At 44.7% G+C, this 27703-nt stretch overlaps 1 protein-coding gene across 9 annotated transcripts in view, besides 3 other annotated features; it reads left to right on the top strand.

Moving 5' to 3' along the window:
* SYK (spleen associated tyrosine kinase) overlaps nt 1-27703 on the top strand; it is a 96950-nt gene that overhangs the window by 16993 nt on the left and 52254 nt on the right. For 7 of the 9 annotated variants that reach the window (XM_011518946.4, NM_001174168.3, XM_005252147.5 and 4 more), the window contains exons 2-3: nt 25266-25723; nt 26842-27002. In XM_011518946.4, the coding sequence (XP_011517248.1) occupies nt 25307-25723; nt 26842-27002 (578 nt within the window). In that variant the 5' untranslated portion in view covers nt 25266-25306. Of the gene's footprint in view, nt 1-545; nt 8988-25265; nt 25724-26841; nt 27003-27703 lie in introns of those variants that run through there. The other 2 variants (XM_047423809.1, NM_001174167.3) reach the window with 2 other exon arrangements.
* Nucleotides 12341-12410: an enhancer, noted in NCBI's record as "active region_28575". NCBI's record gives its function as "activates an Ori minimal core promoter by ATAC-STARR-seq in GM12878 lymphoblastoid cells {active_cell/tissue: GM12878}" and the evidence as "EXISTENCE:reporter gene assay evidence [ECO:0000049][PMID:35858748]".
* Nucleotides 20713-20762: an enhancer, noted in NCBI's record as "active region_28576". NCBI's record gives its function as "activates an Ori minimal core promoter by ATAC-STARR-seq in GM12878 lymphoblastoid cells {active_cell/tissue: GM12878}" and the evidence as "EXISTENCE:reporter gene assay evidence [ECO:0000049][PMID:35858748]".
* Nucleotides 20803-20862: an enhancer, noted in NCBI's record as "active region_28577". NCBI's record gives its function as "activates an Ori minimal core promoter by ATAC-STARR-seq in GM12878 lymphoblastoid cells {active_cell/tissue: GM12878}" and the evidence as "EXISTENCE:reporter gene assay evidence [ECO:0000049][PMID:35858748]".

Genomic DNA, 27703 nt, shown 5'->3' on the forward strand with positions numbered 1-27703 from the left:
TTATTAGTGACAGCAACCATAGGGTTTTTCTTTGTGAAAAAAATTATAAAATACAGAACAGTGCAGTACCACCCAAATTAATAAATGTTGTTATTTTACCATTTATGCCTTTATTTTTCCTAAAAGAACAGTCCCAATAAAGTGGAAGCTATAACCTTTTATGGATGAGGAAGTGGAGAGTAATCTGCTCAAGGCTGGCTAGCTGGTGAGCAGCAGGCCTGGCTCAGGCCCCTCTGGTGCCCCTGATTTAGGCTTCATGGCCTTCTCTACCCTGCAGGAATTATGCTGGCTCAGCTGTGCAGGTTGGCGACTGCAAATATCAACCCCTCTAATAGGAAACCAGGCAGATTTTTCTCATGCTATCAGCTGATTTTTGGTATATGTAAATAAAACCTATGTTTTTGAGAGTAGCAGGAAACATTTTGTTAGAAAACCAAATGAATACAGGGAGATATGGCTATCAGGAGCTGAGACTGATATTATAATTTTCCAAGTACTAGTATCTGTGTATTGATTTTTACAGTAATTTGTACTTTCCCATCCAGCTTGTTTGTGACCACTGAGGCCCTTGGTGAATATCTTAGAAGTCACTCAAAATGGATAAAGAATGAATGTGAGTCACCCATAGCAGTCTTATGTGAGATAATATATGGTTGATCCTCAGTATTCATGGCTTCTGAATTTGTGAATTTGCCTACTCACAATCACAGTCATTTATCTGTAATCCCCAAATCAATAACCATGATGCTTTCAAGACCATTTGAGGTCATACACACAGTGTATTAGTTCATTTTCCCACTGCTGATAAAGACATGCCCAAGACTGGGAAGAAAAAGAGGTTTAATTGGAATTACAGTTCCACATGGCTGGGGAGGCCTCAGAATCATGGCAGGAGGTGAAAGGCACTTCTTACATGGTGGCAGCAAGAGAAAATGAGGAAGAAGCAGAAGAGGAAACCCCTGATAAATCCATGAGATCTTGTAAGACTTAATCACTATTACAAGAATAGCATGGAAAAGACTGGCCCCCATGATTCAATTACCCCCCTTCCTTGGGTCCCTCCCATAACATGTGGGAATTCTGGGAGGTACAATTCAAGTTGAGATTTGGGTGGGGACACAGCCAAATCATATCACCCACCCCTGGCCCCTTCAAATCTCATGTCCTCAAATTTCAAAACCAATCATGCCTTCCCAATAGTCCCCCAAAGTCTTAACTCATTTCAGCATTAACCCAAAAGTCCACAGTCCAAGTTTCATCTGAGACAAGGCAAGTCCCTTCCATCTCTGAGCCTGTAAAATCAAAAGCAAGCTAGTTACTTCCTAGATACAATGGGGGTACAGGTATTGGGTAAATACACCCATTCCAACTGGGAGAAATTGTCCAAAACAAAGAGGTTACAGGGCCAATGCAAGCTGAAATCCAGCAGTGCAGTCAATTTTTAAGCTCCAAGATGATCTCCTTTGACTCCAGGTCACACAGCCAGGTCCCATTGATGCAAGAGATGGGTTCCCATGGTCTTGGACAGCTTCATCCCTGTGGCTTTGCAGTGTACAGCCTCCCTCATGGCTGCTTTCACAGGTTGGCATTGAGTGTCTGTGGCTTTTCCAGGCACATGGTGCAAGCTGTCAGTGGATCTACCATTCTGAGGTCTGTAGGATGGTGACCCTCTACTCACGGCTCCACTAGGCAGTGCCCCAGTAGGGACTCTGTGTGGGAGCTGTGACCCCACATTTCCCTTCTGTGCTGTCCTAGCAGAGGTTATCCATGAGGGCCCTGCCCCTGCAGCGAACTTTTGCCTGGTCATCCAGGCATTTTCATACATCTTCTGAAGTCTAGGCAGAGGTTCCCAAACCTCAATTCTTGACTTCTGTGCACTCGCAGGCTCAACACCACGTGGAAGCTGCCAAAGCTTGGGGCTTTCACCCTCTGAAGCCACAGCCTGAGCTCTACGGTGGCCCCTTTCAGCCACAGCTGGAGCAGCTGGGACACAGGGCACCAAGTCCCTAGGCTGCACACTGCATGAGGACCCTGGGCCCAGGCCACGAAACCACTTTTTCCTCCTGGGCCTCCAGGTCTGTGATAGGAGGGACTGCTGTGGAGGTCTCTGACATGGCCTGGAGACATCTTCCCCATGGTCTTGGGGATTAACATTAGGCTCATTGCTACTTATGCAAATTTCTGCAGCTGAGTTGAATTTCTCCCCAGAAAATGGATATTTCTTTTCTATTACATAGTCAGGCTGCAAATTTTCCAAACTTTTATGCTCTTTTTTTTTTTTTAATAAAACTGAATGACTTTAACAGTCCCCAAGTCACCTCTTGAATGCTTTGCCTGCTTAGAAATTTCTTCTGCCAGATACCCTAAATCATCGCTCTCAAGTTCAAAGTTTCACAGATCTCTAGGGCAGGGGCAAAATGCTACCAATCTCTTTGCTAAAACATAACAAGAGTCACCTTTACTCCAGTTCCTAACAAGTTTCTCATCTCCATCTGAGACTGCCTCAGCCTGGACCTTATTGTTAATATCGTTATTAGCATTTTTGTCAAAACCATTCAACAAGTCTCTAGGAGGTTCCAAACTTTCCCACATTTTCCTGTCTTCTTCTGAACCCTCCAAACTGTTCCAGCCTCTGCCTGTTACCCAGTTCCAAAGTCACTTCCACATTTTGGAGTATCTTTTCAGCAACACCCCACTCTTCTGGTACCAATTTACTGTATTTGTTTATTTTCACATTGCTGATAAAGACATATCTAAGACTGGGAAGAAAAAGAGACAGTTCCACATGGCTGGGAGGCCCCAGAATCATGGAGGGAGGTGAAAGGCACTTCTTATATGGCAGCAGCAAGAGAAAATGAGGAAGAAGCAAAAGTGGAAACCCCTGATAAACCCATTAGATCTCATGAGACTTATTCACTACCATGAGAATAGCATGGGAAAGACTGGCCCCAGTAATTCAATTACCTCCCCGTGGGTCCCTCTCACAACATGTGGGAATTCTGGGAGATACAATTCAAGTTGAGATTTGGGTGAGGACACAGCCAAACCATATCACAGAGTGGCACAAAATTTTAGCCACATGCATATTCCAGACGCTCCAACTCCTCCTTTCACCTCATATTATAAGTAAGTGTCTTTTTCCCCAGTCTACTTAGTGCCGTATTTTTTGCATTTTTGTTCCTTTTTTCAAATTGTGGTGACTTTGCTGTTTAGAGTACCCCCAGCTGAAGTGCTATCTGGTGTCCCTAGGTGTAAGAAGGCTGTGCTGTGCCTTACAGGGAAAATATGTGGGTTAGAGAAGCCTCTGTCAGGCATGAGTCATAGTTAGTGCTGTCGGCCGTGAGTCCAATGGTAGTGCATCAACAATAGATATGAAATAAGGTGCCTTTACACAGAAACACATAAAACAAGTGATGCATTGATCAGTTGATGAAAATATGGTGACGGCAGGCTCTCAGGCACATAACCCCTGAGAAGCGATGGGCTACTACTTGCTAATTCAGTTTTGGGGGTGACTTTGTGGAATGTATAACCTGAAATAATGAGAATAAACTATATTCTACTTCTTTTACAAAGCAAGGAAATAATTTTTAAAAGCAAGTTAAATTTTACTGTTTTTGTAAGAGATATGTTTTCGAAACAGTTGAACTGTTTTATAACACAGAGAAAGTCTCTTTGCCTTACATTTTATATTAGTTAATTAAGTCAGCAGATTTTTCTTGGGCTCCTGTGATGTGACTGGCACTGTTTTGGTACCAAAAGGGCATTGCAAAAAAAGTCCAGAAGTAGACAGATCACAGCCTTCAGGATTAAAAGCAGTCTCATCAATGTGATATTTCGTTTAAACTTAGTAGCAAGCCCATTGAATTCTCAAAATGAGAATCTGCTAATTATCACACACTTTTCTTATGAAAGAATAATTTTTCATAGTCAATATTTCTAAAATATAATGTCTCTTTCTCATTAGCAGAGACCGATTGTATGGCAGATTTACTTGCACCTGCGGATGCTGGAGATAGGTGATGATTTAGTATAGTGCACATCCACCAGGCGGTCCTCCTGGGTCCCAATATTTAGGCCCACAGGATGAGTCCAGGTGATATTGGGCACAGGCTCACTCAGAGGCTATCAGACAGAAAGCTCTGCCTCACTGCACAGCAGCTTCAAGCATTGCCTTCAGTGGGAGTCTTACTTGCAGTCCACACAGCTCAGGTACAAGGCCCCTGAGGTCCACACCTGGAGCTAATCATCTCTTTGAATAACACTGTAGACATAGCTACCAGAAAATAAAAGAAATAGAAAGGCATGATTAATACAAGCCTCACTAGGTTCTTATTGTGAAGATCTGAGAAAGAGCTCCTCATGGCCCTGGCATGGGAGGGAAGAGTGATAACTGTAAAATACCCCTAGGCTTTCTCCATGACAATGGTTACTCTCCAAGGGAAAACACTTTGCAAGAGCCTTGTCTCAGCTGGGAATTCCCAAGGGAATTCCTCAAGTTCCAGCACCCTCATCACTTTATCACTTAAAGGACAAAAAACTCATAGTCAACAGGGGTCAGCGCTTCAAGGAAATTGTTACAGAATGGTAAAGGGGTCGAATATCCAAGAAGACATAACAATCCTAAATGTGTATGTGCATAACAACAGAGCATCAAAATATGCAAGACAAACACTGGTAAGACTGAAAGGAGAAGTAGACAAATCCTGTCTTATAGTTAGAGATTTTAATCTCTTTCTCACAAAAGTTGATAGACCAAATAGATAGGATAAAAATGACCTAAGCAGTACTGTCACTCAACTTGATCTAATTGACATTTATAAAATATTCCATTCAACAACAGAAAAATACACATTCTTCTCAAGCTCACTTGGAATATTCACCAAGATAGAGCACATTCTTGGAAAACATGTTAACACATTTGAAAGACTAAACGTCATACCAATTATGTTCTCAGAACACAGTATAATTAAACTAGATATCAACAACAAAAAGATGGAGGTTTTGGGAAATTTCCCAAATATCTGGAAATCAAACAACAGACTTCTATATAACCTATGTTTCCAAGAAGAAGTCTCCAAAATCTAAAAAAATATTTTGAAGTGCATAAAAATAAAAATATAATTTATCAAAAATTTTGGAATGTAGCAAAAGCAGTGCTTATAGAGAAATTTATAGAACTAAGTGCACACATTAGGTAAAAAATATATAAAGAAAATTACTTGTGATTCTACTTTTAAGAAACTACAGAAAGAAGAGCAAATTAGGCCTAAACCAAGCAAAAGAAAAGAAATAATTAAAATGAAAGCAGAAATCATTGAAATTAAAAACAGGAAAACAGTAGAGAAAAGTCAATAAAACCAATGTTGGTTCTTTGAAATCATCAACCAAATTGATAAACCTTTAACCAAGAAAAAAAAAAGAAAAAAATGTAGAAGATGCAATTTACCAATATCAGAAATGAAGGAAAGGTCATAACTGTTGATCTAATGGATATAAAAAGATGATAAAGGAAGATCATGAACAACTCTGTACTCACAAATGTGGTAACTTAGGTGAAATAAACTAATGCTTGAGTGACACAAACTACTAAAACTTACAGAAGAAATAGGTAGCCTGAATAGCCCTATATCTTTAAAATTTAAATTAATATAACCTTTAAAACAGAAATCATCAGGCCCAGATGGGTCCACTAGTGAATTCTGTCAAACACTTAAGAAAGAAAGAATACCAGTTTTCCATAATCTCTTCCAGAAAATAGAAATGGAGGAAACAGTTTCTAATTCATTTTATGAGTTCAGATTTCACGTAATACCAAAACCAGTTAAGGCATTACAAGAAAACAAAGCAATATTACTTATATATACAAAAACCCTCAACAAAATGTTAGAAAATCAAACCCAACAACGTATGAAAAGAGCTATGTACCACAGCCAAGTGGAATTTATTCCAGGTATGCAAAACAGGTTCAACATTTGAAAATAAATTAATGTGATACATCACATCAATGGGCTAGAGAAGAAAAATCATATGACCATGTTAATGGAGGCAGAAAGGGCATTTGACAAACTCAAAACACTCTTTCATGTCAAAAAAAAAATCTTAAACTAGGAATAGAGGAAAACTTTTGTAACTTGATAAAGAGCATTAAAAAAAAAAACCTACAGGTAACATCATACTTAATGGTGAGAGACTGAACACTGTCCCTCTGATACTGAAAACAAGGTAAGACTGTCCTCTCTTACCACTCTGTTCAACATCCTACTGGGAGCCCTAGCTAGTGCAAGAAAACAAAACAAAACTTATACAGATCAGAAAAGAAGAAATAAGACATCTTTTTTCACAGATAATATGCATGTCCATATGGAGAACTTCAAAGAATCCATAAAACAACTCTAATAACCAATAAGTGAGTCTACAGGATGCTAGATCAATATACAAAAGTCGGTTGCTTTCCTATATACCAGTAGTTAACTATTGAAATTTGAAATAAGAATAATTACCATGTATAATAGCACCAAAAAGACAAAAAAAAAAAAACACAAGAAAATACTTAGGTATAAATCTAACAAAATATGTACAGGATCTGTATGCAGAAAACTACAAAATAATGATGGAAGAATCAAAGAAGATGTAAGTAAATGGAAAAGTAGTCCATGTTCGTACATTGGAAGACTCAATGTTGTTAAAATGTTCATTCTGCCAAGCTTGATCTGTAGATTCAACCCAATCCCAATCAAAATCCCAGCAAGCTGTTTTGTAGCTAATGATGAAATGATTCTGAACTTTACTTGGGAAGGTAAAAGATCTAGAATACCCAACACAATACCCACTAAAAAGGACAAAGTTGGAGGACTCACACTACTCAATTTCAAGTCTTACTAGAAACAGATACAATTTCTGCCCTTATGGGACAAACAGACATTCATCAAAAATTCACATGCTAGAAAGTAAAGGTAAATTAAGTCAAAACAGTGGTCAGTGGTACAAAAGGAAAGCATGTTAGTTTTGACTGTGGGGACAGGGACATGTTTATCCTGAGCTCAAAGGGTAGCCTGGACAGTGGAGGATTTTTAGCAGAGAAAAGGGCCACAGCTTAGAACATGTAGGAAGGGAGCAAGGTGGGGGCACTGACAGCCAGAGCTACTCAAAAGAGATGTGGAGGAAAAGGATGTTATGTGGTTTTGGAGACAAGTAGGCATGTGTGGGAGGCTGAGACGTGAGATGGGAGGGATTGGCAAGGGGTTGACTTTCAGCAGTGTAGAGAAGGGAATGATCTAAGAGAGCTTGGATTTTCATCTTCATAAATGGATGGAGCTCTTGGGCCAAGGTTCTCAAACTTGAGCCTTTAAAATACAAAACCTAGAGCTTCACCCCAGAGTTTCTGATTTGGCAGGTCAGGGTGGAACCCTAAGAATTTTCATATCCTCCATGTTTCCTGGTGATGCTGACATTGCTGGTCCAGAGACGCACATTGAGAACCCAGCTCCAGGGAACAAGAAGGAGCTCCAAGTTAGGCAGGAAAGCCCCAAGCTTACATTTGGATGGGTTGACTATGAGGGCCTTTGCACTGCCACCTGAAGATGGTAGCTAAGAGAAGAGGCAGGCTTCAAATATTGGCTCCACCACATACTGTGTGTTCTTCAGCAAGCCAGTTGACCCTCCTGAGGCTCGATGACCAGGTCTGTGAATTGAGGATAACAATAGTATCTACCATTAGGGATGTTGTGCACATCAGTTGATAACCTTTGAGTCAAGTACTCATGGAATAGCTGTTTTGCATTATCCTCATCACCTTCATCATCATGGCCATTCTGGCCAGCACTAAAGATGTACAGCCAACCTCTTCTGTGGCTGAAGTTTATCTTCTATAAAATGAGAACTTGTTTTTCATGAAGCTGTCATTTTCACAAGTTTGGGGTGCAGGTGCAGATTGCCTACTGTTGTGTTTCTGAACACTTCCCTCGCGAGGCTCCTAACCCCACCCCAGTAAACTCATCAACATGACTCCTTCCAGCTTCTACAGCTCTGGAGAGGGTTCCTTTTTATCTTGCGTTTCCAGGGATGTTTCACGGCCTTTTGTGGAGTGGGCCCTGGCTGAGCTTCTGGCCCTTCTTGAGTGTGGAGGATGTCACAGACTGCAGTGGGAAATTAAAAAGCTGCTTGCTTCACAGAGTAAGGGAATGTTAGTAGATGCTTGAAAAGTACCCTGAGGGAGCTGGTCAGAGGTGCTCTGTAAAGTTGCATCTGTTGCTAGCACCATGAGCAGCTGTCTGACCAGGAGGCCTGGGAACAGGGACAGAGAGAGCTGGCACCCTTCTTTCCTCTGCCCTACACATTGGCCTTTCCGCCATTAAGACCATCTCTGCTTGACTTTTTCAGTCTCCTGGCTGGCAATTAGCATCTTGAGGTCTCCATTAAGATCTTTTCAAGGATGCTCTTCCTATTTGGTTCAATCTTCTGGTTGAATTTGATACATGTTATGATGTAGGACTTTTTAAAAAAACATAAAACAATCAGGAAAACCTCGCTATACCCATTCCAGCAATTCAAGACCAAGTTCATTTTTGGTAAAAACACTTGGGAAAGGGCATTTCCAGGCTGGCTAAGCACTAAATGGCACAGCCCTGTCCACTGACTCCCTCCTCAACTGGTGTGTGTTCTGGAGGGATCCATGTCTCAGAGCATTACTTCATTTTGAATGTGCAATTAAAAGAGGCCCCGTGCTGCTGGGGATCTCACACTTCTGCTTTCTGGTTTGTTTTGCATGCTGACACTTTGAGGAAAAGCCCATTTCCCTAATTACAGACATCGTCCAGCAGCAGGAAGCACTCTGGCTTGTTGATGCCTGTCTTGTGCTTTCTCTCTGTTTCAGCTGTTTTCCTTTTAAGATACTCCTCTCAGATTTGTGTGCTTCTTCCCTTCCCACATTCTATACTGCCCAGCGCCTGGGATTCCAGATCTGCGTTTGAATCCAGGAAAGGGAGGTAGGTCAAATTTGTGGGAATCAAGCATATTTAGAAACCCTAACCTCAGGCTCTGCGCATCTGTGGGTGTCTGTAGGAGGGATACTTAGGTTTCATGCCTGCATCTGCGTTTCCTCTCCTCTGCCGCTAACATTCTTCCACTGAGCACATGTCCATCTTGAGCTGGAAGGTTTAGCGGTTTGCCATCTTGTCTTGCCTGCAGTTATGATGCAGCTAAAGCATCCTTCTCTCCTTCCTATAACCTATGCCACTTTGCTTTAAGCATTGAGTATATTTATGTCTCAGGTTTATGAAAGACAATTATAAAATCTCAGGAGACCATCATAAGCTCCTGTAATATCTTGCAGTCCTGAGTCACCCACAATTATTTTTTAACTGGCTAGGAAAAAGAATGCTAGCGATTTTTTTTAAATAGACATTCAGTAAAACTCTAGATATTTCTTAATCCACATTTACTGTGTCCTTTTTGCTTAAGTCAGGTGTTTTGGTTTCTCTAGCAGCTGCAGGATCCCCATAAAGATTATGCTCATAAGGTAGTGATGGAAAAGTAAAATAGAGCCTGAAAGCGGGAAACTTCAGCAAGGCACTAAGGCACAGACAAGAGATGTTAGGTCTGCCGGCTGTTGTCATTGCAGTCTGCTGTGGCCTCACCCCCGCCCCCCCCCCCGCCCCGCCCAGGCCTTCACAGCTGAGTAGGAAAGGATCTTGGGATGGGTACCAGGGCAGGATCAAGGAAAGCCTGCAACTGCGCTGCCCTTCTCATCATCCATATGTGGTTTGCCCAGATAAAAGCAATATAGTAAGATCTATCAGGCATATTCAACGTGAGTTCTTTTTTCTAGCATCTTGTTGGTTGTTTGTGTTTTTCCCCAGAGAAGAGTGAGTGATGAGGTGGCCCTGGGACATGGTAGATGGTGCAGTTCACTGGGGAGACATCCTTGGCCCCACTCAGGGTCAATATGCGCCCCACACCGCTGGCTGCAACCCCACCCTGTCCTCTTCTGCTCAAAAGAGCATGCAAGGGACATTGCTAAGTGGCAATTTTGGTTGCAACCCAGTGTTCTGTTAATTATTCACAAAAGCTAGCTCTCTTTTTAATTACCAATTGTGTGTGCGTTGCGTGTGCGTCCCTTCCCCCTTCTCTGAGCACACCTGTATGATGAGGCATGTACTTCTTCCTGGTGGAGAAGAACTGCAGAGATGTCTCCCAGGTTGAGCCTGCAGCCTGGCCCGGTCACCAGCACAGCACGGTGACTTGACTGTCCTCCCTGGCTCCCTTCCCCACCCGTGGCAAGTGGCAACTTGCTTTCGCTCACACTGAACGTGGTCAACTTGCCTCCCTGTCACACTGTAGCACTTGAATAGGGCAATATTAGATTATAGCAGAGGTTCTCAGACATTAGAGTGCTTAAAAATCACCTGGGAAGCAGGCCAGGCGCAGAGGCTCACGCCTGTAATCCCAACACTTTGGGATGCCGAGGTGGGCGGATCATGAGGTCAGGAGTTTGACACCAGCCTGGCCAACATAGTGAAACCCTGTCTCTACTAAAAATACAAAAAATTAGCTGGGTGTGGTGGTGTGCGCTGTAGTCCCAGCTACTCAGGAGGCTGAGGCAGGAGAATTGCTTGAACCCAGGAGGCAGACGTTGCAGTGAGTGGAGATCGTGCCATTGCACTCCAGCTGGGGTGACAGAATAAGACTCCGTCTCAAAAAAAAAAAAAAATCACCTAGGAAGCTGTTTAAAATTTACCCTTCTTGTCCGTATGCCCTATTTGCTGGGTCTGAGGTGGGCCCAGAACCCTGCTTTCCAGAAGGGAGCCTGAGGGTGGGGTGCCCTGAAGACCACACTCAGGAAGAACCGGACATGTGAGCTTTCATGAGCCAGAGTCCTGCCAAGAACTAGAATCTGCAGGTGGCTTTGGCCAGTCCCACTTAGAGGCAAGAAGACGTGAGGATAGTAGAGAACCTGGAAATCACGCAGTCCCCAGGATGAAAGTGGAACTCTCGGACCAGATCCTTATTCTCTTACTTTCGTGAGCCATTTCTGCCTACCTGTTGTCAGGGAGGCAGGAGGTTCATTTTTCTCTCACATGGTGCCTGACATAATGACTTGCACGTGATAGATGCTCAACAAGCATATTGAATGAATCAATCAGTTAGATTGTAAATTAAATGCACCAGATGGGCTGGTTGTTTATTTATAACTACACAGTTAACATTTATATTAACATAATGTTAACACCAAAGCGTAATATCTGTTTTCTGTGTTAATTATGGCAAGGTGGGCATAGAGAAGAGATTTCTGAGTGTCTTTTGCAGAGCTTGAAAATGTCTATGTGTTGGTTGAGATAGATCAGCCTTTACTTGATGCACTTTCAATCTTTTAAGTTCTGAAGGCACAGCAAGAGAATTTGGTGTTGAAGGTTTGGATAATGTTTTCAAGTATTTCAATATCCCTCTATTTCTAAACATTAGTAAAAATCATGCCTCATGCTACCATCCTTAGCTTCACTTTGTGTTTCTGAATTGTGTATCTCTATATACTAAGAAGTCCCCCATGTATGCCTGCAAATATGGGAGAGTCAACCGCTCAGCAGAATGTGCACAATGTAAGGCTGTGCCTTGGAGACCAGGCACCCTGTGCAGTGTGATGCACAGGCAGGCCTCAGGATGGCGCCGTGGAGGGCAAGTGATACCTACTGACGAAGCCAGTGGAGTGGATGCAAGGCCAACTCAGGCCCTGCAGCTGGGGTTCTGTTCCTCAGTGTTGAGGCCACAGGTCTGTGTCCACATGTTTTCTTTTGTACAGTGGGATTCTGCCGCACAAGGCAGTGCCCCCAGCCCTTTGCAGATGAGTCAAACATGCTTGTTTGCAGAGCCTGGTGCTGGGTGGGGTGGTCCCATCACATCACCTCTTCCTTGGTCATTTCTCTGTAATTAATCAGCCAGTCCCTGACCAAACCAGCAAGATCAATTCTCCCTCTGGTTGGACTCATTCCTCTTTTTTTTTTTTTTTTTTTTTTGAGATGGAGTCTCGCTCTGTCGCCCAGGCTGGAGTGCAGTGGCATGATTTCTGCTCACTGCAAACTCCGCCTCCCAGGTTCATGCCATTCTCCTGCCTCAGCCTCCCAAGTAGCTGGGACTACAGGCGCCCACCACCACGCCTGGCTAATTTTTTGTATTTTTAGTAGAGACGGGGTTTCACCCTGTTAGCCAGGATGGTCTCAATCTCCTGACCTTGTGATCCACCCGCCTCAGCCTCCCAAAGTGCTGGGATTACAAGCGTGAGCCACCACACCCGGCCTCCTCTTTCTTATGAAAATTAACCCACAGATGAAGTTTCCTTTCACCCAAGTCTTGACAATTTTCTCAGCTTCAAGCTGCAGAGGAAATTCCTAGGCACATCTTAACAGGGCTGCTTTGCATTGAGGGGGCTGTGTGGTTTGAGCGTGATAAGCCTGGATATCTTTCTGCACTATGCTGATTTTTGTTCCCTTAAATGGTATGGATTTGGCAACAATTGTTTGCAGGTGATCTTTTCCCAGAGAACCACTTATTTCCCCCACTGTCTCTGTATGATAGGAGGGCTCTAATGGCCCAGGGATGTGAAAGTGAGACACCTTCAATCGCTAAGGACTGCTGGAAATGTGAACTACAGGAAGTTGAGGGGGCTGGAGGGGAGGAGGCAGCACCTGCCGGAGCCATGCTTCAGTGGGTCTCAAGAAAAGCAGAAGCCTGGAATCTCAGGGCTGAGGCCCCTTGATAACTAGGACAGATGGGTTAATAAAAAGGGATACAGAGACATAGGCTACCTCTTCTGGTTCAATGCCAAGCTAGAAAATCCTGAAATGAACACAGATTTATGAGATAGGAGTAATATATTTAAGAACACAGTCTTACATAGAGATAACTATTTTCCCAAAACATCCAAGGTAAATTTATATATCTTTATGGATGAGGTTGGGTCTTTTCAGGGAAGGTTGGGGAGACGGAAGGGAAATTACTTATTATCAGTCCTCATGATTCATGGATTCCATATCTCCGCATTCATCTATTCATTTAAATCTGTTTGCAACCCCAAAATCAATACTCACAGCACTTTTGCAGTCATTTGTGACGTGCACAAAGCAGTGAAAAATTTAAGTCACCCAACACATACGTTGAGGTCGCACAAGGTGACACTCTGCTTTCTTGTTTTAGCTCTTATAAACACATTTTCTTTTCTCTTGGCCCATTTAGTCCATGGTTTTTGCATTTTTGTGCTTTTCTGGGGTGATTTTGCTATTTAAAAATGGCCCCAAACACAATGCTAAAGTACTTACTGTCTGGTGTCTCTAAGTGCAAGAAGGTTGTGATGTGCTTTACAGAGAAAATACGTGTGTTAGGGAAGCTACTTTCAGGCATGAGTTATTGTGCTGTTGACCATGAGTTCAAGGTTAATGAATCAACAATATATATGAAATAAATATCTTTAAATAGAAATACACATAAAACAAGGTTCTGTATTGATTGATTGACAAAAAAGTTGTAACCAGAGGATCACAAAAACCTAACACCATATTTCCCCAGGAGCAACTGTTCAGGATTTGCAAATTCAGCTTTCATGGTGATTTTATAGAGCATAACTATTGTGAATAACAAGAAGCAACTGTATTTTGTTTCATGCATAAGATGGAAAGAGAACAGAACCAGAAGTATGATATCGATGAAATGGAGAGAGGAGAAAGAAAAGAAAGAAATGACACTATGAAGATTTATTAGTTAAAATGTTACTAGTGATAATAAATTAATCAGAACTTTGGCCTCTGCCTTTGATCCTGGTTCCCATAATCTCTAAGTGCCAGGCTCAGATAATGTGGCCCTTGCAGGGTTTGGGCAGCTAGTCCTCTAACCATTTTCTACAGGTAAACGTGGACATGAAAGAAGCCAGGGTGAGGCAGGCAGCTTCCAGAAGCACACACTGGGCTCAGCTCCTTCCTTCCTAACCTCTATTTTAGCTCCACGTACCTCTTCAATACCAGAAAGTCTTCTTCTGATTCTGCCAGAGCCCAGCTCCTAGAACCTAGCTCATACACTCACCAGCCTTTTTTGTCAACAATTCATTCAAATATTTATTTACTTAAATATCCATTAAGCACTGTTGCTTCTCTCGCCCAACTCCATTGCACATGCTATATCAGTTATCTGTTGCTACATAACAGATCACTCTAAACTTAGTGGTTTAAAACAACAATAATTACTTATTATTGCTCATAATTTCTGTGGGCCAAGCATTTGAGATAGCTGGGTAGGCTCAGGCCCTCTGTAGGGTTGTAGTCAGGTGTGGGCCAGGGCTACAGTCTCATCTGAAGGCTTGATAGAGGCTGGAAGATACTATTCCAAGGTGGCTGCTCATACGGCTGGTCACTTACTGCTGGCTATTGGCTAGAGGCCTCAGTTCCTTACCACATGAGCCTCCCCAAAGAGCTACTTGAGCATCTTTCCAATGAGGCATCTGGTTTCCCCAGAGTGAGCAATCCAAAAGCTGAGGAAAAGTGTTAAGGGCTTTCATGAGCTAGCTTCAGAGACCCAACATTGTCACTCTGCAGTCAGCCACTCTGTGTGCAAGGGATGGGAGTACCAGGAAGTGAGGATCACTGGGCACCATCTTGGAGGCTGCCTGCCATGTATACATTTTAACTCTCAAACAAAATTTGAAGACTGAAGACCCATACTTAAAGTAGCCTCTGTTCCAGGCAGTAGAGAACAAAATGTAAACGTACTTACACTAATGGAGTGTCTATTCTAGTGGCTTTGGGGAATATAGACAAAAAAACAGAACTAAAACTCTAAGGTGGGACAGGGAGCTGGGAGTGTTAGTGTCAGGTGGGCCTATAGAGCTCAGCCCCCCTTCATCATGTTGGCATTCATGCTGGCTGTTCCTCTGTAGGGGATGAAATTTTCCCCTGCCAGAAGAATGGGCTCTGGACAGCTTGTTCAGCTGCTTGCTCAGGTGTGAGCATCTGTGCCTAATCTTCCAGTCAGACTGCCCTAGAAACATCATTTCTTAATTAGCTGAAAGGGTATCTGAAACATTGTACTTATGGTGGCAAGCATGGATCTATTGCTCTTCATCTATAAAGTTGCTGCCTGATAAGGTAGAACTACACAAATGATAGTTTCCCAACTAAATGCATTTTAAAGGGCAAAGGTTGTATAGTCAGCTTTAGTCCTGGCATAGGGGAAATGGACTATGGAAGTCTAGTTGGAAGAGAAGATTGAAACATGCCAGTAAGTGCAAAAGGATACAGTATAATTTAAATAAAACACATGGAAGACATGAGGATGCTAGTGGGATATGATGGGCTCATCCATTTCTGCAGGCTCCAGGAGGGTGGCTGGCAGGGCTTCTTTGGTGTGGGGCAGAAAGAATCAAAGCCTGTAGAATAAATCTGACTCCGTTCTAGATTTAACTCCTCATGGTGTATCACGTGCAAGGTGAAGCCTGACTGGCACTAGGGAGGATTTTGAGGTAAGGAAGCATTGTCTTTGGTTCAGTCCAAGCCCTCACTGACTTTCCACCATCTTCAGGTGGGGGTGGGCATGTCCGTCTGTCTCCCAGCCTCATGCACACACATGTGTGCACACACATGCACACACATGCATGCCTTCTTATGAAGTGTGGGTCTGGCTGCCCGTGCTTTTTCCTTCATCTCACCATGACTTATCCTTCCCTCTTCTATTCAAAGTTCCCACTTGAGAGGGTCCAGTTGCCCTGGGCACCCCTCCACACTCCCCACTCATGACTGAAATTAGTTACAGTGGCTTTGGTATACTGTCATCCCCTTTCACCAGTGAAGAACTCTATTGCTATAGTGCCCAGGTCACACAAAGCTGGGCCGGGTCGCCAGCGTTCCCGATTCTCACCTCTGTGTCCCTGGGTTTCCTGCTCTCTGGCCCAGTGGAACCACCTCCACGGGGTACCATTCCTTTCCAGCCTTGTCTTTTGTTCATTGGCAATGATGTTAACAAATTAAATAGGGGAATATTTGTTCATCTAATTTATTGGTAAAAAGGCTAGAACAAGCTTATCCAACCCATGACCCATAGGCCACATGTGGTCCAGGATAGCTATGAATGTGGCCCAACTAAAATTTGTAAGCTTTCTTAGAACATTATGAGATTTCTTTCCCTTCTTTTCTGTAGTTCATCAGCTATCATTAGTATTAGTATATTTTATATGTGGCCCAAGACAATCCTTCTTTTATCAGTGTGGCCCAGGGAAGCCAAAAGATTGGACACCCCTGGGCTAGAGCAATAAAATGGGCACATCAGATTTGTGTCCACAACAGCTGACACAGTGGTTTCCAGTCAGGGGTAAGTTACCCTTAGGGAACACTTGGCAATATCTGGAGACGATGTTTGGCTGTCATGATTGGGGAATGGGGTGCTACTGGCATCTAGTGGGGAGAGGCCAGGGATGCTGCTCAATAGTCTGTACTAGATGAGACAGCCCCCGACCCTACACACATAACAGAGAAGGATCCAGCCCAAATGTCAAGAGTGCCAAGGTTGAGTAACCCCGAGCTAATGTGATGAATGGTGCCAGATGGAAATGGGTGGGACCATCATAAGGAGGGGGAACAGGGTAAAGGCAACCATCTTAATTTGTAAATTGAGTGTGGGGGATGTGTTTTGACCACATGCTTTTGAAAAGGGAAGCTGTTCATTCTCCAGAAGCCCAGCGGAGATGTTGGATGGATGGGGCCACCCATAGCTGCATTCATGGACAGCTGGACACGGGCCCAGGAAATCTTGGCAGCGTCACTGGGGCCGGTGCACTTTTAAGAGGAGCTTGGGTGATATGAAATTGTTTGGACAAAATGAGTGAGAGGTCTTGAAATAATGTCAAGGCAGGAAGAATGCATTGACTTGGAGTGGCTGCCAAGAGCAAGCATTTGCAGGTTGTTTTGGGGAAGCAGAACTGGCTGTGTTCTCTTTGTCCTGTGCACAGTTGGAAGACGGGAAATGGAGGAGGAGAGATGGGGAAGGAGAGATGGGGAATCAGATAAGAAAGTGTTTTCCAACAGAAGCATCGGCACACATTGGAGTGAGTTCCCTTCCCTTAAGAGGCCAGGAGCTTATGTAGGAACCAAGCTCCATCTGAAGCAGCCACAGGGCTGGAGCATCTCGCAGATTAGTTGCCAGGGTTCTCTGATTCTGGCCCTGTTAGCCTCCATCTGGACACACAGCAATTGCATGTTTAGCATTTTTATTACAAAAGCAACATACAATTTTGACCCTTGAACGTTACAGGTTTGAACCATGTGGGTTCACTTATATGCGGATTTTTTTTCAACAAAAATATTGGAAAAAAGTTTTGAAGGTTTTTGACAATTTTAAAAACTTGCAGATGAACTCCATAGCCCAGAAATATAAAAAATGTTGGCCGGGCGCTGTGGCTCACGCCTCTAATCCCAGCACTTTGGGAGGCTGAGGAGGGCAGATCACGAGGTCAGGAGATCGAGATCATCCTGGCTAACAAGGTGAAACCCCGTCTCTACTAAACATACAAAAGTTAGCCAGGCGTGGTGGTGGGCACCTGTAATCCCAGCTACTTGGGAGGCTGAGGCAGGAGAACAGCGTGAACTGGGGAGGCGGAGCTTGCAGTGAGCCGAGATTGTGCCACTGCACTCCAGCCTGGGCAACAGAGCGAGACTTCATCTCAAAAAAAAAAAAAAAAAGTTAAGAAAAAGTTAAGTGTATATTGAATGCACAAAATATATGTAGTCTATTTTTTCATTTACTACCATAAAATGTGTACAACTCTATTATTAAAATTAAAATTTATCAAAACTTACACATAAATACTTATATGCCATTCACAGTCGAGGAAAATGTAAATAAATATAAAGATGCAGTATTAAATCATAATTGCATAAAATTAACTGCAGTACACACTGTACTGCTGTAATAATTTCATAGCCACTTCCTGTTGCTATTGTGATGAGCTCGAGAGTTGCAAGTACCTGCCTAAATCACTGTGTGATGCTCATCATCTCTGTGTGAGCAGTTCATCTCTCCAGTAAATTGCATATTGCAGTAAAAAGTGATCTTTAATAAGTGATCTCTTGCAGTTCTCAAGTATTTTTCATAATGTTTAGTGCAATACCGTACAACCTGAATAACACCATGGGTCCCATGTGAAGGGTCACAGTGAGGCTGGAAGTGCTCCCAAGAAGTCATGACATTATAAGAAAAAGCTGAATTGCTTGATGAGGATTGTAGATGGAGGACTGTAGCCATGGTTGCCTGCCATTTCAGATGGATGAGTCATCTTGTAAACAGATGACAGTAAATTTATGGTATTGATAAATACAGTACAGTATTGTAAACATATATTCTATTCCTTATGATTTTCTTAATGACATTTTCTTCTCTAGCTTACCTCACTATAAGAATATAGTATATGATACATATAACATGCAAAATATGTGTTAATCAGTTATTTATGTTATAGGTAAGCCTTCTGGTCAACAGTAGACTATTAGTTAAGTTTTGGGGGAGTCAAAAGTTACACATGAATTTTTACTACAGGGTGGGTGGTCAGCATCCCCACATTGTTCAAGGGTCAGTTGTATATTCACTGTGGAAATCCTAAAAAGCAAAGAGCAACATGTTTCCATCAAGCAGGATTTTGCCAGCCTCTGGTTAAACCCTGAAGCCTGAGCAAGGCAGTGAAATCTCCAGACCTTTGGGGCTCACATTTTAGGGAAAGGGCAGGTTTGTGTTGATGCTACAAAGGTAATAGATGCTTTTGAGAAGTTAACTATGTGCGGGGGTGGCCAAGGTAGGCCGAAGCAGCACCTGAGACTGGATCATCATGATGCAACTCTCTGAGTAAAGGCCTGAGAAGGAGGAAGCCAAGCAGGAGGCAGGAGAGGCCTCAACCTGGAGGCAGAAGCACAGTGTGGTGGAGATAGTGAGCAAGGTGAGGTTGCAGGTCTCGGGCCTGGTCAAGGAGAGCCTTGTGGAGGAGCAATGAAGATTTGCGATGTGATGTGGATGGAGAGGTTCCTTGTGAGCCTCACTCCACCTTCAGGGTAGGGAATTGTCAGTAAGGAAAGGAAGGACCAGGTGAGACTTCCAATACCTGAGAGATGGCGGTGGCTTCCACGAGGGCAGCCTCAGGAGCTATGGGGAGACATGATGGCTTGGGAATATATTTTAAAGAAAAGCTACTCAGAGGACCTGGAGACCAGCTCATCTAACCTGCTTCAAGATTCTCCATCCCTGTGACTGCATCAGATGGAGCTCAGCTCCTGCACAAGCTCATGGCTTCCCTGCATCACTGTGAGTGGCCAATGCTTCTGGTAGAAAGCACATTCCTTTCTGACTTGGTGAGAGGGAAGACTCCTGAAAGCAGCCAGGGTCTCATCCTCAGCAACTGTGGTGCTCAATGTCATTTCCTCAATTAGGAGAGACTGAGGGAGGAAGAGATTTGCTGAGGGAGTGGCAGGAGGAGTCAAAAGCCTCATCTGGAGTATGTGGAGGTCAACTTGTCTGTTACACATCCAAGGGGGGACGTCAGATAAGCAGACATGCAGATCAGGAGCTCAGTGGAGAGAAATAAATACCCATTAACCAACAAATATTTTTGATGACTTATTCTGCACTAGGAGCTGTTCCAGGCATGGTGATATGGCAGTGAACAAGGTCATCCTATTCTCACCTCCCAGAGCTGGCCCTCTGGTGGGAAGAACAAGACAATACTCAAATTCAACAGTGAATCATGATTTAAAGGGCTGCTGCCTTATGGAGATGTGCTGCAGAGAAAAATTAGGCAGGGAAGGGAGGTATGCGGCCCAGGACATTACAGAAGATTATTTCATGTCAAAAAACATTTTTCTACAACTAAGTGCACATTTAACTTGTGTCACAAAAAAGGTCTCAAAAGAGCAAGGGATTTGCAGTGTTTTCAGGAGCTCACCAGACACCTGAAAACCCTCCTTGCTGAACCACTACCTGCCCAGGTGTTCACTGAGGTGCCAGACCCAGCAGGCTGAGGGGTACAGGTGGAGTTAAGGAGGAGCTAAGTGGCCTGGTTTGTTTCTCAGTTTCGTGCTTTGGAATGAAGTAGTGTCACACATGGAAAAAAATAACTGGGAATGTTGAATTAAGAAAAAATAGGGAGCAAGTTCTAAACACTATTTGGAAGAAAATGATCCCTGGGAATGCTAAAGAGAATTTGAGCCATGAGCTGTTCCTGTAGTCAGAGTTAAGCATTGTGAGTTGGCAAAAGCATCAGGCGGGAAGGACTGAGTCTGTGTGTGCAGGAGGAATGCCTGCAGGGGAAAGTCACGGGCTCCGTCCCTGTCTCAGTTGGTGGGGGTGGCAGAGATGCCACAGCCGTGGCCAAGACTACGCTGGGTGAAAAGTGAGACTCTCTGGATTTGCCATACTGACTGAAAGCTGATATCTGAAAAGTGGAGCTGAGAACAGCAGCCTGGGCCACTGTGGGCAGTGACTGGAATGGAGATGGCCATTTCCTGCCAAGGTGGCCTGAGAAAGAGGAGGTTGGAGACCAGGACAAGGCCCCGGGTGGGTGCCGGTGGGTGCCAGTCCTGAGAAGGTATGCACAGGAACACCATGGACATTGTTTATTCCCCCAATTAAGTAGCCCAAAAATGTGCCATAAGCTGTCCTTGCAGTGAACCAGTGATTCTGCCCAAACCATCACCACCAACATACCCAGGTCAACTCCGGCACAGGAAGTCACATGGCCAGAAAAGGGCCATCAGCCACATCGGTGCTGACACTGAGTGCAGCACATTCTTCTGCCACCTGCTTGCGAACATATCTGCAATGCACCATCAAAGCCACACAGAGTGTCCCTGGCGTGTGCCTGGAGGTTGCTCCGGGTCTGCAGATGCTCCCCAAGACCCGACCACAGCCTGTCTCACTTCCTTTCCATTCACTTCAATATGGGATTCATGCCCAAGTGCCAGCACCGATGTAATGATTAGTGACAAGCCAATGAATTTTTAAAATAGTAGCTATGTTAAGATTTATATGAATTAAAAAGTATTTGCTCTCATTTTATTTAAAATTTTGTTCCTACAAAGTTACTGTCTCAGTTTGAGCTGATGGTGCAGTCTGCTGTTCTGCAACTACATAAAAAGTAACCTGGGCCCTGCAGAGGGGACACAAGCATCGGGGCCAGGTACACAGTGACAGGGGTATTTGAGCTGGGTCTGTAAGGATGACTGAGATGGCTGGGAGGAAGAGCTGCACGCCTCAGCAGAAAGCACACGTGGTGAGAACAAGAAGGGAAAGCCACAGCATCCCGGTGCAGTCCAGTGTGGTCTGTGGACTGGGCATGTTGGAATAGGCAGGAAGGGCTGATGTGCGCTTTGAGGGAGGACCGGGCAGCTGGAGAGGGAGGCGTCAGGAAGCAGGAGGGCAGAAGGTGAGGAGTGAAGGGCAGCAGTGGAAAGGACAGGGTTACGCCAAGCAGTGGTCATGGATATGGGCAGTAAGGAACATGCACCAAGGGCGCCTGGAAAACGAACCTTAGAGAACGCAAGTCCTGCGGAGGACTCCTGGGTTCCTGGCTGGGACACCGCCTGGGCAGGGAAGGCAGAGAAGATGGAGAACCTGGTCTCAGGTGGCATCAGAACCCAGCATCCGCATCACCAGGATTGCAGGAGCAGCAGCGTCTCAGGCCCTGGGTGTGTCAGAGCCCCCAGGCCACGTGGAAGTATGAGACGTGCTGGGCTGCAGGGGAAACAATGGAAATGAGGTTGGAGGCCCGAGAAGACCCACTGCAGGAAAAGGGTGGAGTGGGGGAAAAGCAGGCTGGGGGCAGTGGCTGGCCTGCAACAAAAGCATTGTAGAATGCAGGCGTGAGCCACCGCGCCCGGCCAAGGCGGGCAGATCATGAGGTCAGGAGATCGCGACCATCCTGGCTAATGCGGTGAAACCCCGTCTCTTCTAAAAAAAAAAAAAAAAAAAAAACTGTAGAAAGGGGAAAGCAGTCCAAAGAGAAGTATTTCTTCCAAGAGACTCATCAGCACACTGTGTTTCCAGAGATGTCTTTCTGTTAACAGCATTCTTAGACTCAAAAGTAAATGTAGATATACTTTAAAAAACAAAAACACCTTGCTAAGAGATGAATTTTTAGAAACTTGTTGGACAAAGAAAAGTCATTGATAGTCAACTGCTGTGAGAGGCAAGCCAGGAAATGATGATTAATACCCTCAAATTATAATAAAACCCATGCCTCATTAGGGGCTCGCCCAGGAGTACTGACTTGTGGATAGACACCGTCTGGGGAAAACTCTGTCGCCTGTGTCAGGCTGATGCTCTTACATTTTATAGCCCCTTGTAGGATAGTGCATGTTGAGAAGAAGCCGCTTCACATCATCGTGGTGCAGGATCTGTGGTGTGGTGTGCTTCATGTGTGTGTTTTGTGTGTGTAGTGTGTATGTAGTGTAGTGTTAGTTGTGTGTACTATGGTGTGTGTGTGGCATGTATGTAGTTTGTGTGTGGTGTGTGTGCAGTGTGTGTGATGTGTGTAGTGTGCATGTAGTGATGTGGTGTGGTTTGTGTGTGTTTTTATGTGTAGTGTGTAGTATGTGTGTTGCATGTAGTGTGTTGTGTGTCGTGTGTATGTAGTTTGTGTGTGTGGTGTGTTTGCAGTGTGTGTGGGTGTGTACTGTGTTATGTGTGTAATGTGTATGTAGTTTGTGTGCTGCACGTAGTGTGTTGTGTGTACTGTGTATGTAGTTTGTGTATACTGTGTGTAGTATGTGTGCAGTGTGTGTGTAGTTTGTGTATGACGTGTGCAGTGTGTGTAAGATGTGTGTAGTGTGTTGTGTGTGTAGTGTGTATGTAGTTTGTGTGTGTGTGGTGTGCGTTTAGTGCATGTGTGGTATGTGTCCATATGTGTGGCATGCATGTAGTGGGCATGTAGTATGGGGGTGTATGTGTGTGGTGTAGTGTGTGTGATGTGTGTAGTGTGCATGTAGTTGTGTGGTGTGTTTCGTGTGTGTTTTGTGTGTGTAGTGTGTATGTAGTGTAGCATGTGTTTAGTATGGTGTGTGGTGTGTATGTAGTTTGTGTGTGATATGTGTGTAGTATGTGTGATGTGTGTAGTGTGTACTGTGTGTGGTGTGTATGTATTTTGTGTGTGTGGTGTATGTGATGTGTGTAGTACATGGTGTGTGTAGTGTGTTATGTGTGTAGTGTGTTGTATGTGGTGTGTATGTAGTTTGTGTGTTGTGTGTGCAGTGTGTTATGTGTGTTGTGTGTGTAGTGTGTATGTAGTCTGTGGTGTGTGTGATGTGGGTAGTGTCCGTGTAGTACATGGTGTGTGTAGTGTGTGTGGTGTGTGTAGTGTGTTGTATGTGGAGTGTATGTAGTTTTTGTGTGTTGTGTGTGCAGTGTGTGATATGTGTAGTGTGTTGTGTGTGTGGTGTACGTGTAGTTGGTGTGTGTGATGTGTGTAGTGTCCATGTAGTACATGGTGTGTGTAGTGTGTGTAGTGTGTTGTATGTGGTATGTATGTAATTTGTGTTGTGTGTGCAGTGTGTGTTGTTTGTAGTGTGTTGTGTGTGTGGTGTGTATGTAGTTTGTGTGTGTGGTGTGTGTGTGATGTGCATAGTGTGCGTGTAGTGCATGGTGTGTGTGTAGTGCAGCTGTGGCATGTGTTCGTAGTGTGTGTGGCATGCATGTAGTGTCCATGTGGTATGGAGTGTGTGTGTGTGGTGTAGTGTATGTGATGTGTGTGGTGTGTGGTGTACCGTATGTGATGTGTGTAGTGCGCATGTAGTCATGTGGTGTGTTTCATGTGTGTTTTGTGTGTATGTAACGTAGAATTTGGTGTGTGCGGTGTGTTTCATGTGTGTGGTGTGTATGTAGTTTGTGTGTATGTGTATGTGTGTGGGGTAGTGTGTGTGATGTGTGTTGTGTGCATGCAGTGGTGTGTTTCATGTCTGTTTTGTGTGTGTAGCATGTATGTAGTGTAGCATGTGATGTGTGTAGTGTGTTTCGTGTGTGTGGTATGTATGTAGTTTGTGTGTTTGGTGTGTGTGATGTGCATAGTGTGCATGTAGTACATGGTGTGTGTGTAGTGCAGGTGTGGCATGTGTTCATAGTGTGTGTGGCATGCATGTAGTGTGCATGTGGTATGGAGAGAGTGTGTGTGTGTGTGTGTGTGTGTGTGTGTGTGTGTGTGTACCATGAGGGACATGCGCTTTGCTCCCTGGATAAATGGATGGAGTCATGTAGATAATTTTCCATTCACGACCAGCCCCTTTTGGTTAAAATGTGCCTCCTTGGATACTTTTGGGGCTGGCAATATGTATCCTTCTAGTTTACAACCATGATTGAGAGGGAATACTCTCCATGTTAAATATGCATTGGCCGCCTTTCTTTTTGCTTCTGAAATGTATTTATTTACTGCAAGCAGTGTCTCTCCTGTGTCAGATGTCCTCGTGGGCTGGGAACCGGCACTATCTCTTTAGCACGGGCCCTGCAGATGGGAAGTGGCGTTGCCCAGGAAGTGGTCTGGAGAAGCGGGGAGAAGACAGCCTATGGGCCCCAGGCCTCGGGAGCCAGGGAGGGTGTCACTCTTCATGTCTCAGGCAGTGGCTTGTTGCTATCATAGCCCCGGGCTGGAGGTGGGAAGGCCTTATGGTGACCACAAGTCACAGTTCCGTGTGGGCCCTCAACGTGGCCTCACTTCACCTCTGGGGCTCAGCACCAGCGTGTGACTGACTGCTCGAGGCAGCGTCTCGCAGCTCAGGTGGGTGAGGTGGTGGTAGCGTCCTCCTTGGTAATATCACTGTGATGAGGAGCAAGGCTTCTCTAACATTGTCTGGACTCAGGAGGAGCAGTTGGTTTGTTCTCATGTAGATTCTGCCTCCTGTATGCTGCTGGGACCCTGAGGGTCAGCCCAAGAGTCCTGTTTTGCAATAGCCCTTCTGTTTGCTTCTCTTTGCGGTATGTTTATTTTTAGAATTCTTTGTCTTTCCCCACTCCCCCCAAAAAAGAATTATTTAATTTGGTCACTTCCATCAAATGCTCTGATTTTAGCTTAGTTAGAAGGCATGCTGAAAACTGTAATGATGATGTGAACAGAAAGACAACTGTGTGTTGGGAGGGCCAAAGAGGGAAGTGCCTTTGTTCAGAGATGGGAGGGTTTGTCTCCACTTTGAAAGGGTTTGAGTGGTTTTAGCAAACGTTCCCTGCCACGTGGGGTCCTCACCAAAGTTCTCTGTCTCTGTCTTGCCCAGGTGGACACCTGCGCAGGTGTGTGCCCTCCGGCCCCTGAAGCATGGCCAGCAGCGGCATGGCTGACAGCGCCAACCACCTGCCCTTCTTTTTCGGCAACATCACCCGGGAGGAGGCAGAAGATTACCTGGTCCAGGGGGGCATGAGTGATGGGCTTTATTTGCTGCGCCAGAGCCGCAACTACCTGGGTGGCTTCGCCCTGTCCGTGGCCCACGGGAGGAAGGCACACCACTACACCATCGAGCGGGAGCTGAATGGCACCTACGCCATCGCCGGTGGCAGGACCCATGCCAGCCCCGCCGACCTCTGCCACTACCACTCCCAGGAGTCTGATGGCCTGGTCTGCCTCCTCAAGAAGCCCTTCAACCGGCCCCAAGGGGTGCAGCCCAAGACTGGGCCCTTTGAGGATTTGAAGGAAAACCTCATCAGGGAATATGTGAAGCAGACATGGAACCTGCAGGTGGGCCACAGCTGGTCCTGCTCCCTGGGCCCAGGGGGCCCTGTGACCCCACACAGACTTCCTGGCTACATGCAACACATGTGCCTATGTGCCCTGTGTGCCCAAATAACACAACCATCTCCTTAAGCATCAATTTTGGCCAAAAAATGCCTCTCTCTGATAAGAGCCTTTCCTCTTTCACAGCCACAGCTGAGAGGGTGGGTCCCTTTGTGCCAGCAGTGTGGGTTTCTCCACAGCAGGGAACCACTGTTACCCAGTGCAAGGAGGGCCTTTTCAGAGAGGCATTGATAGGTGTTGATTGGTTTCTGTTTATCTGACAAGGTCCTACCATACACACTGATAGGCACTTGATTTTATGGCTTCCTAATATCTCTTGCAGAACTTTCTGTGTCAACACTCATATAGTTGCATCACCCGTTCTTTGGCTATCTGGTATCACCTGCTATGCACCACAATTTATTTAACTAGTACCTATTGATGGACACATTTGCTGTTTATGAATAAACGCTGCTAACAACATTGCTCTAGACCTATCGTATACTACACTTGTATGCAACGTCTGCAGGATAAACTTTGAAAGGGTTGGGATTGCCACAGCAAAGGATATGTGTGTTTATTTTTTTATTTTTTATTTTTTTGAGACAGAGTCTTGCTCTGTCACCCAGGCTGGAGTGCAGTGGCATGATCTCAGCTCAATGCAACCTCTGGCTCCAAGGTTCAAGCGATTCTACTGCCTCAGCCTCCCAAGTAGCTGGGATTACAGGCATGTGCCACCACACCTGGCTAATTTTTGTATTTTTAGTAGAGATGGGGTTTCACCATGCTGGCCAGGCTGGTCTCGAACTCCTGACCTCAAGTGAACCATCCTCCTTGGCCTCCCAAAATACTGGGATTATAAGCGTGAGCCACCGTGCCCGGCCATGTTATTTTTATTTATACACTTGAAAGTACTTAAGTAATGTGTAAAGGTCTTTCTGGTTTTATTTACTGAATGAATGAGTGAATAAGTTTTGATCCTGTTTTACCATGCCAGGACTCGAGATAGATTGGAAATGCCTTCTGCATCATTTTCATTTTTCCTCGGTATGGTTTACTCTGCTTTGCTCTCCATGTGGCAGGGTCAGGCTCTGGAGCAGGCCATCATCAGTCAGAAGCCTCAGCTGGAGAAGCTGATCGCTACCACAGCCCATGAAAAAATGCCTTGGTTCCATGGAAAAATCTCTCGGGAAGAATCTGAGCAAATTGTCCTGATAGGATCAAAGACAAATGGAAAGTTCCTGTGAGTATCGTGCCTTCCCCCTCACCTCCTGCCACCAGGCCTGTGTGGACAATTGGGAATAATTCAGCTTCCTTGTGACTGGCCCCACATGACCCTGGGAAGAGGCCATGCATTGCCATTTGACAACATGCATGCTGGCCTGTTCTAAAGACATTTCTAACCAAAGCTATCACTTGTGACCCAGTGTTTATTTTGCCCAGTCTAACTCTAAAATGAACACTCTTTTTGGGCACCGAGGGATGTAATATTTAAAGAAAATGTGATTCAGCCCCATATTCTCCTTTTAATGGCAAATTATAGGTTGCATAGCACATTCTGTGGTTATCCAACTAAAATTAAAATACTGCAGTTTTTTTACTCAAACTACCCCCTTGATCTCAGACTTTACTTCTATTTTACATGAAACAAGATGCCAACAGGAAAGATGTTAAGGAAAAGTTCCTGGGAGTAGCATCCATGAGTGGTGAGTGCAGGTTTGAAGACTTCAGCCTTAGGCCCACAGTCATTAGAGGGTCTGTCTGAATCCTGGGTTCTGTTTGCTATCCTCAGTGGTTCAGTGTAAATCTAAATTGTAGAAGGTTCTGAGATACAGGCCAACGTGGTCAGTCAGTTGTCCAGAGAAGGTAAAGAACTGTCTTTGGGAGGTGTCAACCTTGTTCCCTCGAGGGGGTCTGGTCAAGGTGGCTCAGTGGGGCAGTTGT

This window comes from Homo sapiens, chromosome 9 (genome assembly GCF_000001405.40).
Source record: "Homo sapiens chromosome 9, GRCh38.p14 Primary Assembly".
Taxonomy (NCBI): domain Eukaryota; kingdom Metazoa; phylum Chordata; class Mammalia; order Primates; family Hominidae; genus Homo; species Homo sapiens.